This window comes from Homo sapiens, chromosome 3 (assembly GCF_000001405.40).
Source record: "Homo sapiens chromosome 3, GRCh38.p14 Primary Assembly".
Lineage (NCBI taxonomy): Eukaryota > Metazoa > Chordata > Mammalia > Primates > Hominidae > Homo > Homo sapiens.
The window spans coordinates 198,043,968-198,057,088 of record NC_000003.12 but is presented as its reverse complement, the minus strand read 5'-3'; the positions used below and the strand labels follow the sequence as shown (position 1 = coordinate 198,057,088).

At 45.0% G+C, this 13,121-nt stretch overlaps 1 annotated feature.

The window, feature by feature from the left end:
* Positions 5,991–6,177: a silencer, noted in NCBI's record as "fragment chr3:197777783-197777969 (GRCh37/hg19 assembly coordinates)". NCBI's record gives its function as "represses an EF-1alpha promoter that drives an FKBP-Casp9 reporter gene in an ReSE screen in HepG2 liver carcinoma cells {active_cell/tissue: HepG2}" and the evidence as "EXISTENCE:reporter gene assay evidence [ECO:0000049][PMID:32094911]".

Sequence of the window (13,121 nt, the reverse complement as noted above, 5' to 3'; positions counted from 1 at the left end):
ACCAATTTGGCAGGAAGACAACACCTTCTTTTTTTTTTTTTTTTTTTTTGAGACGGAGTCTCGCTCTGTCGCCCAGGCTGGAGTGCAGTGGCGCGATCTCGGCTCACTGCAAGCTCCGCCTCCCGGGTTCCCGCCGTTCTCCTGCCTCAGCCTCCCGAGTAGCTGGAACTACAGGCGCCCGCCACCATGCCCGGCTAATTTTTTTGTATTTTTAGTAGAGACGGGGTTTCACCGTTTTAGCCGGGATGGTCTCGATCTCCTGACCTCGTGATCCGCCCGCCTCGGCCTCCCAAAGTGCTGGGATTACAGGCGTGAGCCACCGCGCCCGGCCGAAGACAACACCTTCTATGTTCCTCACTGAATTCAGTAATAAAGGAGAATGTATACATATGAGAAAAAGAAAGCTAATCTATGTGTGTGGTAATAATTTTCAAAGTATGCATGTTAGAGTTAAATATTAACATAATTTAATAATAAGGCAATTTATAAAATTAATAACAAAAATATTTTATCAGGAGACTGTAAGGTAACCTCAAGAACAACTGGCCAGTCATCTTAAAAAATTTCCTATGTCAGAGTCTCCACTGGAAGGTACATCACATTGTCATATTAATTTGGATGAGACATGGGCTTCAGAGAAGAAATTATATTTCAAGTAGGAAGTCAAATATGTATGGAATTTAACATGTCGACAGTTAATCTGTAGCTGGTTGAATAATATAAACTGTTTTAGGATACTAATTTCAGTGGACAGCTTGATTTTTTATTTTTATTATAATTAATTATTACCATTTTATTACCTTTATAATGTACTTATTTCTTAAACTCTGGCTTTTATTCTGCCATTTTGAAAAATAATTGCATACGTTTTACAATATTTTCTCTTGGGAAAGTTGAGAAGTATACATCATTCCTCACAGAAAATTGGCTTTTTTCCTGTTAAATAGTATTTTTAGATAATTTCCTTATTGCCATTATTATGAGGTCAAGAGATCGAGATCATCCTGGCCAATATGGTGAAACCCTGTCTCTACTAAAAATATAAAAATTAGCCAGGAATGGTGGTGTGCACCTCTGTCCCAGCTACTTGGGAGGCTGAGGCAGGAGAATTACTTGAACCCAAGAGGTGGAAGTTGTAGTGAGCTAAGATGTTGCCACTGCACTCCAGCCTGGATGACAGAGTGTGATTCCATCTCAAAAAAAAGAAAAGAAAAAAAAAGGACAAAGTATGCTGGTCAATATCCTAAGGGTGAGACGATCCCCCTTCGAGATTAGAAAATAACACTATATGCACAGTAACATCAATAAGAATCAACATAAAATAGACATGATTCACTATCTACAAAAGTAACCTGCACCAAGTGGCAATGTCTGAGTGTGTGGTTGAGAATATTGTCTATAATATGTGTACTAGAAAGAAGAGGCCTCAAGAAGAAGGTCAGAGCTGGAAATGTAGATTAGGGAATCTGGGTCAAAATTTTGAGATTTTAGGAGTCCTGAGAGAATTTAAAAGAGGAATAGTGGCTGGGCGTGATGGCTCATGCCTGTAATCCCAGCACTTTGGGAGGCCGAGGTGGGCAGATCATGAGGTCAGGAGTTCAAGACCAACCTGGCCAACATGGTGAAACCCCGTCTCTACTAAAAATACAAAAAATTAGCCAGGCATGGTGGTGGGCACCTGTAATCCCAGCTACGTGGGAGGCCGAGGCAGGAGAATCGCTTGAACCTGGGAGGCAGAGGTTGCAGTGAGCGGAGATCACGCCACTGCACTCCAGCCTGGACAACAGTGCAAGACTCCGTCTCAAAAAAAAAACAAAAACAAAAAAACAAAAAACAAACAAAAAAACAGGAATAGAAAGGAATAGGACTGAACATCAGAGGTTGCTGCATTTAGAAATAAAGTGGGTTCAGAGGAGCAGAGGGAGCATTTGGTCTACTCGCAGTTGCTGCTGAGTAAAGCAGGATAAAGTCCTTCATGACCCTTGCACTTTTTTATTGGAATTATTTAAAAATCAGATTGCGGTATAAAAAACACAATAAGTGATGAAAAATAGATCTCTGGATGAGACCATGTGTCATAGAGTCCAATGGAAGGGGAGAAGCAGGATAATAGAAAATCTACAAAAAGTAGACAAAAGTTATGTTTTTATTATAGAAAAAATCTTTATTTAAAGAGAAATGATTAAGAGAAAGGGAAAAAACTGAAATCTATGGGTGAATACTAACAGAGAATATTTAGATCAGCCTGAAGACAGATGAGGATCAAAAATGTAATGGGAACTAGATAAGAGTTTTCTAAAAATCATCTTAGTAAGATGTAATTTAACAAAACTTGGAATATCTTTAACTATTAATGACAATGTTTCTAAAGCATCTTTAAAAACTAAAATGTAAATATAACTACTCTTTTTTTTTTTTTTACTAACCCTTAGTATTTTATGTGTAAAAACCCCCACTTTTAACCCTCATTTTTGGCAGCTTAAATTTCAGAAAAGATAATGATGAAAGTATAAATCATTTTTAGCTGTTTTAAGAAAAGTGTCTATTTTTGAAATCTGTCCTTATTGGCGTCAGGTTTATAAAATGTGCTTTATACACCTGCCTAAATACATATTATTCATCAACTTATGAGAAATAACATTTTTAAGATAGAACAGGGTCTCTAGATTTTACAAAAATAATTTTAAACACTTTCTTTTTTTCTTTTTTTTTTTTTTTAAGAATAAAGTCTGGAGTTTAGTTAATAGTAATGTACCAATGTTAATTTCAACAAATGTACCATTGTTATGTAAAATGTTAACATTAGAGGAAACCAGGTGAGGGTTATACAAGAACTCTCTGTACTATCTGCAACCTAGAATAATCTAAAACTATTGCCAAATAAAAGCCTTTTTTAAATTTTTTTGTTATTATACTTTAAGTTTTAGGGTACATGTGCACAACGTGCAGGTTTGTTACATATGTATACATGTGCCATGTTGGTGTGCTGTACCCATTAACTCATCATTTAGCATTAGGTATATCTCCTAATGCTATCCCTCCCCCCTCCCCCACCCCACAACAGTCCCCAGAGTGTGATGTTCCCCTTCCTGTGTCCATGTATTCTCATTGTTCAATTCCCACCTATGAGTGAGAACATGTGGTGTTTGGTTTTTTGTTCTTGCAATAGTTTGCTGAGATGATGGTTTCCAGCTTCATCCATGTCCCTACAAAGGACATGAACTCATCACTTTTTATGGCTACATAGTATTCCATGGTGTATATGTGCCACATTTTCTTAATCCAGTCTGTCATTGTTGGACATTTGGGTTGGTTCCAAGTCTTTGCTACTGTGAATAAGATATTAACTCAAAAAGTTTTCTTAATTCTTCATTTTCTTCTTCAGGCTTGAAAAAGAAAGTGTTGCAATAAACATAGGTGTGCATGTTTATTGCAACACTTTCTTTTTCAAGCCTGAAGAAGAAAATGAAGAATTAAGAAAACTTTTTTTGAGTTAATATCATCACTGGAGTATAATGTGGATCAAATAAGGAAGAAAAATCATGAATTAGAGGAAGAGGCATCTGGGTATGGTTTTCATATTGTAGAACATTTTAATCATTTATTAATTGACTTAACTCTAATATTACTTGATTAAAACCTAGATACAAATTCATTTTATGTCTGCATTTTCATAATTAAACGAAATCTATTTTAAAATGTATTTTGGAAACTCACAACATTATAGGCATGTGCGTCATGGGGGCGGGAGTCAGCTGAGCTGCTGGGGCAAGGTTGGGATGAAAAAATTTATATTAAAAACATATAAAAAAAGAAACAACACAATCTGAAATTTTTTTGAATGCCAAAATGCTACACTTCTTTTTTTTTTTTTTTTTTTTTGGAGACAGAGTCTGAGTCTGTCATCCAGGCTGGAGTGCAATGGTGCATTCTCTGCTCACTGCGACCTCCACCTCCCAGGTTCAAGCATTTCTCTGGCCTCAGCCTCCTGAGTAGCTGGGATTACAGGCATGCACCACCACACCTGGCTAATTTTTGTATTTTTAGTAGAGACGGAGTTTCACCATGTTGGTCAGGCTGGTCTCGAACTCCTGACCTTGTGATCTGCCCACCTGGGTCTCAAAAAGTTGGTGTGAGCCACTGCACCCAGCCATTTATTCTTTAATGATTTTGAAAACAATAATGAGAAAGCCTTGAACATGTAATGTCAACTGCACTCTTCATTATCTAGTTTCAATTATAATTTCTGAAGATATTTTTGCTGTCTTTGGTCAACTTTCTTTTGCAGTATCCTTCTCTGCTGCATTCAAATTCTTTAAAGGAGACCTATTCGTGTCATTCTTTAACATCAAAATTTATCTTGATATGTAGCTTGTATTTTGTTTCTGCCTCTTTTTCTTTTAAATATAAAACATATCATGGAAATTTACTCATTTTACATGGGCCCTTCTGTTGTATACATGAAGTATACATGCTATTAAACTTCTGTCTTACAGAAATAAATTTTATATATATATAAATATATGCATAACTTAAAAAGAGTAAAATGAGCATTCATGTTTTGATCACAGTTTTTTTTTAAATGGAATGTGTCTTTGAAGCCCTGAACACAGCTACTTTTCTATTTATTTACTGAGCACTTAAGTTGGTTTTCTGATTCTAATGAACATTTTTCTGTCATTGCCTTTCTCTACATGGTTCTGCATATCTTTCATTTTGTTGACATTTTGTCAGGAAAGATCTCTAGATCTCTTCTTCAAAGTCTTTACGTCAACACATATCTCTGTCCCTTTCCTTTTTTTCTAAAACTGCCTGTTTCCTTTTTCTCAGGAGATCTGGTTGTATAATAGGGTGTGCCACCTCCTTCGTCTCATTGCCCCTTGATATTCTGGTATGATTGGGTGGCTTCCTGAGTCCTGCAGAATCATGGGCCGATTAAAGCTCTTTTCTTTATGATCATAGAGAATATTAGTACTGCAAAGTGGAGCTATCAGATGTCTTCAAGGCCTTTTCCCTGTTGTCTTGACAATCAGCACTCAGCTTCTTTTCATTCAAGTATCTGAAGCCTTCTTGAATTTTTCCCCTCAAAATGGACTTGTCTTCCTTTACCACATTGCCAGGCTGCAACAAAGATAGCTGATAATGCAGAAGCAAGTTCAGAAGGGGCTAGCAAACAGAGGTCAGGAGAGTTTGGAGGGCTTTGAAGACAGGAAGATGAGGGAAAGTTTGGATCTTTGTAAAGAATTGTTAAATACTCGTGATCAAAAGCCTGACAGGAAAATGGACAGTAAAGGCCAGACTTAGAAGGTCTCAGATGAAAATGAGGAACTTACTAGGAACAGAAGCCAAGGGTACTTTTGATTTGCTGTAGCAGAGAACATGGCTTCACGGCGACCCTGCCCTGGAGATCTGTGATATAGGCTCCAGCCTACAGGGTCGGTGGGTTTTCTCCCATATGTGGAGACAAGAAAGTGTAGAAATGAAGACACAAGACAAAGAGATAAAAGAAAAGACAGCTGGGTCCAGGGGACCACTACCACCAAGATGCGGAGACTGGTAGTGGCCCTGAATGCCTGGCTGCACTGTTATTTATGGGATACAAAGCAAAAGGGGCAGGATAATGAGTGTGAGCCATCTCCAATGATAGGTAAGGTCACGTGGGTCATGTGTCCACTGGACAGGGGGCCCTTCCCTGCCTGGCAGCCAAGGCAGAGAGAGGGGGGAGAGAGAGAGACAGCTTACACCATTATTTCTGCGTATTAGAGACTTTTAGTACTTTCACTAATTTTGCTACTGTTATCTAAAAGGCAGAGCTAGGTGTACAGGGTGGAAAATGAAAGCGGACTAGGAGCGTGACCACTGAAGCATAGCATCACAGGGAGACGGTTAGGCCTCCGGATAACTGCGGGTGGGCCTGACATCAGTCAGGCCCTCCACAAGAAGTGGAGGAGTAGAATCTTCTCTAAACTCCCCAGGGGAAAGGGAGACTCCCTTTCCTGGTCTGCTAAGTAGTGGGTGTTTTTCCTTGACACTGATGCTACTGCTAGACCACAGTCCGCTTGGCAACGGGCGTCTTCCCAGACGCTGGCGTCACCGCTAGACCAAGGAGCCCTCTGGTGGCCCTGTCCGGGCATGACAGAAAAGCTCGCACTCGTCTTCGGTCACTTCTCACTATGTGCCCTCAGCTCCTGTCTCTGTATGGCCTGGCTTTTCCTAGGTTATGATTATAGAGCGAGGATTATTATAATATTGGAATAAAGAGTCATTGCTACAAACTAATGATGAATGATATTCATAGATAATCATGTCTATGATCTAGATCTAGTATAACTCTTGTTGTTTTATATATTTTATTATACTGGAACAGCTCGTGCCCTCAGTCTCTTGCCTCGGCACCTGGATGACTTGCCGTCCGCACTGTGAAACTTTGAACTTGAGGGTGATGACTTAGTGCATGTCTGGTGGAATGAACTTCTAGGCAGCAAAGCTCAAGATGTGTCCTGTCTGCATCAAACAGCCTGTGCTTTTATGTGTGACTGAGGCAGTGACCTCTGATTCGGACTTATATTAAATGAGTCCCAACTCTTATATTAAATGAGAAGCAAACTCAAAAGTTTGGAAAATTTGCAGCCTGGCCAATTGGTCAAAAAGAAAAGCTGATTTTCAGGGGAAAAATTCTGGAAGGGTTCAGAAATTTGCATAAAAAGGAGTCCAGTGCTAGTAGCCAAGACAATAGGAAAAAGGCCTTGAAGGCATTTCAGAGACATTTACAGCAGCCCTTGCTGTCACAGGCCCTGGGGCCTAGGAGAGAAGTATGGTTTCCTGGGCCAGTCCCATGATCTCCCTCTATGTGCAGCCTCAGGACACTGCTGCCTGCATCCCTGCAGCTCCAGCTGCAGCTCCAGCCATGGCTGAAAGATGCACAGATACAGCCTGTGTCACTGCTTCAGAGGATGTGAGCTAGAAGCCTTGGTAACTTCCTCATAGTGTTAAGCCACTAGGTGGACAGAGCATGAGACTAGAGGCTTGGGAGCCTCTGTATAGATTTTGGAAGATGTATGGAAATGCCTGGGTGTCCAGGCAAAAGCATCCCCAAAAGGCAGAGCCTCATAAGAAACCTCTACTAGAGCAGTGCCAAAGGAAAATATGGGGTTGGAGCCCCCACACTGGAGGCTACCATCATGCAGACCCCAGATTTATAGAACACCCCCCTCCCAACAGCTTGTACCATCAGTGGGGAAAAGCTACAGGCACTCAATGCCAGCCCAGCCCATGAGGGCAGCCGTGGGGTGTAAACTCTGCAAAGCCACAGGTGCAGAGCTGCCCAAGGCCTTGGGAGCCCAGCCCTCACACCCTTGTGCCCTGGATGTGGGACAAGGTTTCAAAAAGGGTGATTTTGGAGCTTTAGGATTGAATGACTGGCCTTCTGGGTTTGGAGACTGTAAGTCCTATCTGTGCTTTGTTCTTTCTGGCAAAATCCTCCCTTTTGGCTGGTAATGCTTACCCATTGCCTGTGCAAGTACTGTGCTTTGGAAGTAGTTAACTTGCTTTATATTTCAGAGGCTCATGGGCCTAAGGGACTGTAGCCTTGTGTCAGATGACACTTTAAGCTTTGGACATTTGTATAAATGCTGGAACGATGTAAGACTTTAGGGGACTGTAGGGAAGGCATCATTGTATTTTGCAATGTGAGAAGGACATGAGATTTTAGGAGTCAGGGACAGAATAATAAAATTTAGCTCTGTGTCCCTGCCAAAACTCATGTGGAATTGTAGTCGGGATTGTTAAAGGTGGGGCATGGTGGAAGGTGATTTAATCATGGTGGGGAGTGGGGGTTGGAAGGTGGGGGCATAGGGAAAATGGGGGACTATGGTGGGGGTGAGGGGTGAAAAGTGGCGAGGGGGTGGACCCTTCACAAATGATTAAACACCATCTCCTTATTGCTGTCCTTGTGATAGTGAGTTATCTTCATGATTTTGGAGCTGTGAGATTGAATGGATACTGGGCTTCTGGGTTTGGACTTGCATTGGGCCTGTGGTCCCATTTGTGTTATTTTCCCAGGAAATTTCTTCCCTTTGGATTGAGAAAGCTTACCCAATGCCTTTACCATCACCGTACCTTGAAAGAAAAGAACTCCCTTTTACATTCAGGGACTCATAGGCAAAGGGACTGTAGCCTTGTCTCAGATGAGATGTGGAATTGTTACATTTGCATTAATGCTGGAATGATTGAAGACTTTTGGGAACTTTTGTAAAGGCTTGATTGTATTTTGCTCTGTGAGAAGGACATGAGATTCAGTGGGCTCAGGGTTTGAATAATATGGTTTGTCTGTGTTTCCCTAGAAAAACTCAAGTGAATTGTAATCCTGAATGTTGGAGGTGGGGCCTGGTGGGAGGTGATTTAATCATGACAGGAGGGTGTTGGGGTGGAAGAAAAAGGAGTGGGTAGGGTAGGGAGGAGTATGTTGGCAGTAGGGTGGTGAGAGGGTAGGGGTAGCAGGAAGGGGGGTAACCTGCTGCAGAGGCAGAGGCTCATGGGAAACCTCTACTAGGGCAGTGCACCTGTGGCTTTGCAGGCTTTAGCCCCCATGGCTGCTCTCATGGGCTGGGTTGGTGTGGAGTGCCTGTAGCTTTTCCATACTGAGGGTGTGAGCCGTTGGTTTGTCTATGAATCTGGGCTCTGGAGGATGGTGGCCTCCTGTGTGGGGGCTCCAAGCCCATAGTTTCCTTCTGCACTGCCCTAGCAGAGGTTTTCCAAGAGGTTCTGCCTCTGCAGGAGGCTTCTGCCTGGAAACAGTGGGCGGTGGTGTGGGTGGCGGATCCTTCACCAATGGTTAATCTTCTTGATGCTGATCTCCTGATAGTGAGTTATCCTGAGATCTGGTCTTATAACAAGATGTGGCTCTTCTTTCCTCTCTCTGTCTTGCTCCTACTCCTGCCATATGAAATGTCTCATTGCCGCTTGGCCTTCTGGTATGGTTAGGAGGGGCCTGATCAGCGTGGGCCTGGTCAGTGGACCCAGTCAGTTGGGACTGACCTAGTCAGCGAGGCCTGTTTAATGGGGGCATGGTCAGCAGGGGTCTGTTTAGAGAGGGTCTCATTAGGGGGATCTAGTAGTGGGGTCTTAGTGAGTGGAGACCTAGTGGCAGCCAGTTGTTTGGTGTCTGGTCAGTGCAAACTTGGGCTGTGGGGCTTGGTCAGTGGAGCTTAGTGGTCAACTGGGGCTTAGTGGTGGCCTGGTCAGCATGAGCTGGGGCACTGGTGACCAGGTCAAGGGGTGCTATTCAGTGGAGGCCTGACCACAAGGGACCTAGTCAGCATGGCCTGGTGGGCGTGTCCTCATCAGCGAGGCCCTTGTCAGTGGGGTCCTGGTCAGGGCAGCCTGGTCAGTGGAACCGAATCAACGGGGGCCTGGTCAGAGAAGACTGGGTCAGTTGTGGCTTTTGTAGCACTGGTCTGTGGGGTGACCTGGTCAGCAGGGATCTCAGCAGCGGGTGCCTGTTCAGTGGGGTCTACTCACTAGGGTCGTGGTCAGGGGCATCTGGTCACCTCAGTCCTGGTTAGCAGGGGCCTGGTCAGTGGCAGCCTGTTCCCTGGAGGCCTGGTCAGTGGGGCCTCATCTGTGGGGCCAGGCAATGGGGTCATGATCAGTGGAACCTGGTCAGTGAGGCCTTGTCAGTAAGGTCCTGGTCAGTGAAGTCCTGGTCACTGTGGGCCTGGCAGCGGAGGCCTGGTTAGTGGGACCTCCTGATGGAGGTCTAATCGGTGAGGGTTTGGTCGGGGAGGACCTGGTGTGTGGGGTCTGGCCAGCAGGGACTTGGTCATTGGGGGGTGATGAGCGCTGCTGGGAGATCACAGGTGCAATGCATGTTATTGAGGGCCCTGTGGACAGCTGGGACGGCCCAGTGGCACCCAACAGCCCAGTCAAAAGTGGACAAAGCAGGTGTTTGGATGGACCTGGAGGATCTTGCTCAGAGATCCTGACAGGACAAAGTTAAAGGAAAGGCCAGAGTGGCTGGAGAGACGGTCACAGTCTATGTGCTGCACAGGATGGAGGAAGCCAGGGAATAGGCACGTGGGCAGTTGGGGTGCAGGGAGAGGCAGGTGCATGCTGGGAAGTCAGACCCTGAGAGGGCTGTGGGGGCATCAGGTGGGGTGGGCTCCAGGTGAACCCTCAGTGCACTGGGCAGGTCTCAGCCCAGGTTCCCTAGACCCAGGCCGGGTGATGTGATCGTTCCCTGGGGGACTGCTGTCAGGCCCCAGCCACCCACCCTGGGCAGCACTGTCCCATCTCAGGACTGGACTTTCTCAGATCCTGCAGAGGGCACAGCCTCTAGCCCAGGAGGGGCAGCCCCAGGATGCAGCCCAAGCTCTCCATGGGCCTGAGCATCCCCTGCCAGCCCTGAGCTCCCTCTGCTCCCAGGTCCTGCTTTTCCAGTGACAGCCAGCAGGGAGACCCCATCCTCCCTTCCCTGTGTGTCTCCTGGGCTGAAACTTGTAGTGGATTGGGACAAGGATGGTGCTTCCATCAGGCCCACTTAGGGAGGGGACTGGCTCCTAGCCTGGCGCAGGTCCTCAGCTCTGCCTTGGTTGCCTTAGAATGAGAAGTATCAGTCAGTGCCCTGAAGTTGAAGGTGAGAGACTGTCCGTGCTGTGTGCGAGGCTGGTCTAGGGATGGAGGACTTGGCAGGGCCCCCCGGTCTGTCAGGCCTGGGCAGTACTGTTCTGTCTCAGGACTCAGAAAGCCCAGCCCTGAGATGGGACGGTGCTGCCCAGGGTGGGTGACTGGGGCCTGACGGCAGTCCCTCAGGGAGTGACCACATCACACAGCTGGGGTCCACGGAGCCTGGCCTAAGACCTGCCCAGTGCACTGAGGGTGCACCTGAGTCCACTCCACCTGATGCCCCCACAGCCCTCACAGGGTCTGACCTCCCAGCATGCACCTGCCTCTCCCTGCACCCCAGCTGTCCACCGTGTATGTTCCCTGACTTCCTCCATCCTGTCCAGCAGGATGGGCTGGACAAGGGGGACAGCCTATGTGCACATTTGGTGGCAAGCAGGAGTGACACACCATCCCTGGGAGGTGCCATGGTTTCTGCCAAACCCAACTCCAGAACTCTGTCCCTGAGGTGGTTTTACCAAACCCAAAACCCAGAACTGTGGTTGTGGCTCAGCAGTCAGCACCCGCTAGTGTCAGGACACTACTGGGAAGTTGGGACCTGACCAAAGCCCATGGTGTCTGTGGCCTGAGGACAGGGTGTCTTGGGGCCATAAGGCTAGGCCACCAATGGCCATTGGGTCATAGGGCCTCAGCCCCAGGGTTTGTCCTTCCCTGGATCCTTCTGGTTCAGTCCTATCAGGGCCATGGAACCTGAGACTATAAACTAAGTTTCCCCCCAAGTTAGTTCAGCCTTCGCCCAGGAATGAACAAGGACAGCTTGGAGGTTAGACGCAAGATGGAGTCGGCTAAGTTAGATCTCTTTCACTGGCTCAGTCATCATTTTGAGAAGGCGGTTTCATCTCCACCCAAATCTCATCTTGAATTCCCATGTTTGCAGGAGGGACCCAGTGGGGGGCAATTGAATTGGGGGGGGGCAGGTGTTTCCTGTGCTGTTCTTGTGATAGTGAATAAGTCTCATGAGATCCGATGGGTTTAAAATGGGGAGTTTCCCTACACAAGCTCTCTGCTCTTGTCTGCTTCCCTGTGAAACGTGCCTTTCACCTCCTGCCATGACGGTGAGGCCTCCCCAGCCATGTAGACATGTAAAGTCCATTAAACCGCTTGCTCTTGTAAACTGCCCAGTCTTGGGTGTCTTTATCAGCAGCATGAAAACAGACTCATACAGCAGGCAAGCTGTGCTGAAGAAGCAATTACTCTATTCTTTGTGTTCTTTGTGGCAACCTCACTTACATTCTATCTTCAACCAAATACATCCAAATCTCCACTTATGAACACTCATGAGTGTGAACACATGGCAACCCTCTTCTCATCTGCCTGTACACTCCTGAAATGTCACTAGGAGACACCTGATGTGGGGGAAAGCCAGATGTTCAGATACTGTGATTGGAGTATTTCCGAATAAGGCAATGTCAGAAAGTTGTTGAGTCGCTAATGTCTCTACTGAAATTGAAAAAATTGAGTGGCACTGAGAATTAAAATGATTTTGTATCTAAGACATAACATCTATAGGCATTAAAATATTTCTATAATATAAAATGGAAAAAGCATCGACTATCAGAATATTTGGACAAATATTTGGGTCACGTATTTGGACCCATCTCCCTAATTCATTTTAAACATTTAAAAAAATGAACTTCTAATGGGATCCCAACAAAGGTGATTTAAATAAACTCCTCCATTTCTGCATATATACTGGTGAGGTTGTGAACAAAAGACTTATGTAATAATGCCCCCTAAAATAGTATATTCTATGAACATATCCAAAGGTAGTGTAAACAAAGTAATATATGAGATATAGCTTTATCTTCAGTATGCTGGGCAAATAATATTGTATTTATCTGAGGTAATTTATTGTATATAGTTTTAGCTACTTATATGCAATCTGTAAAACTTTAAAAACACAACATATCAGAAAATCCCCACAAAGATCTCAGTCCAGCAATTAAGTCACGCACACGATACTGGATCAATTTCACAAAGCACTTGGCTCCAAGTCACAGGCAGAACGGCTCTAAATGCACATGAGGAAGGGACCTCCTGGGACATTCTCTTGTGCTACATGCAGGTTATGGGAAGAAACCACACTCCAGGACTACAGCCACAGCCTATTTGATGCCACTGTGTCAAGTGTGGTGCTTGAATGTGCCAGGGTGGTCATGCAACGAACCTTCTGGCCCACAGCATAGACCAAATTGTCTATGAATTGCTTTAGTCTGCTCTTTCCTGCTTAACTAGACCTGTCTCCACTCTTTAAGTAGGACAATTTTACTCACCTTTAAGTAGAAACTGATTATATTTCGTAATAAACACCTTGTCTTCCCCAAAGAGAGTCCATGACTGTTTTAGAGACAGGATCTTGCTCTGTCATCCACGCTGGAATGCAGTGGTGTGATCTTGGCTCACTGCAGCCTCTAACTCCCCGGCTCAAGTGATCCTCCCAT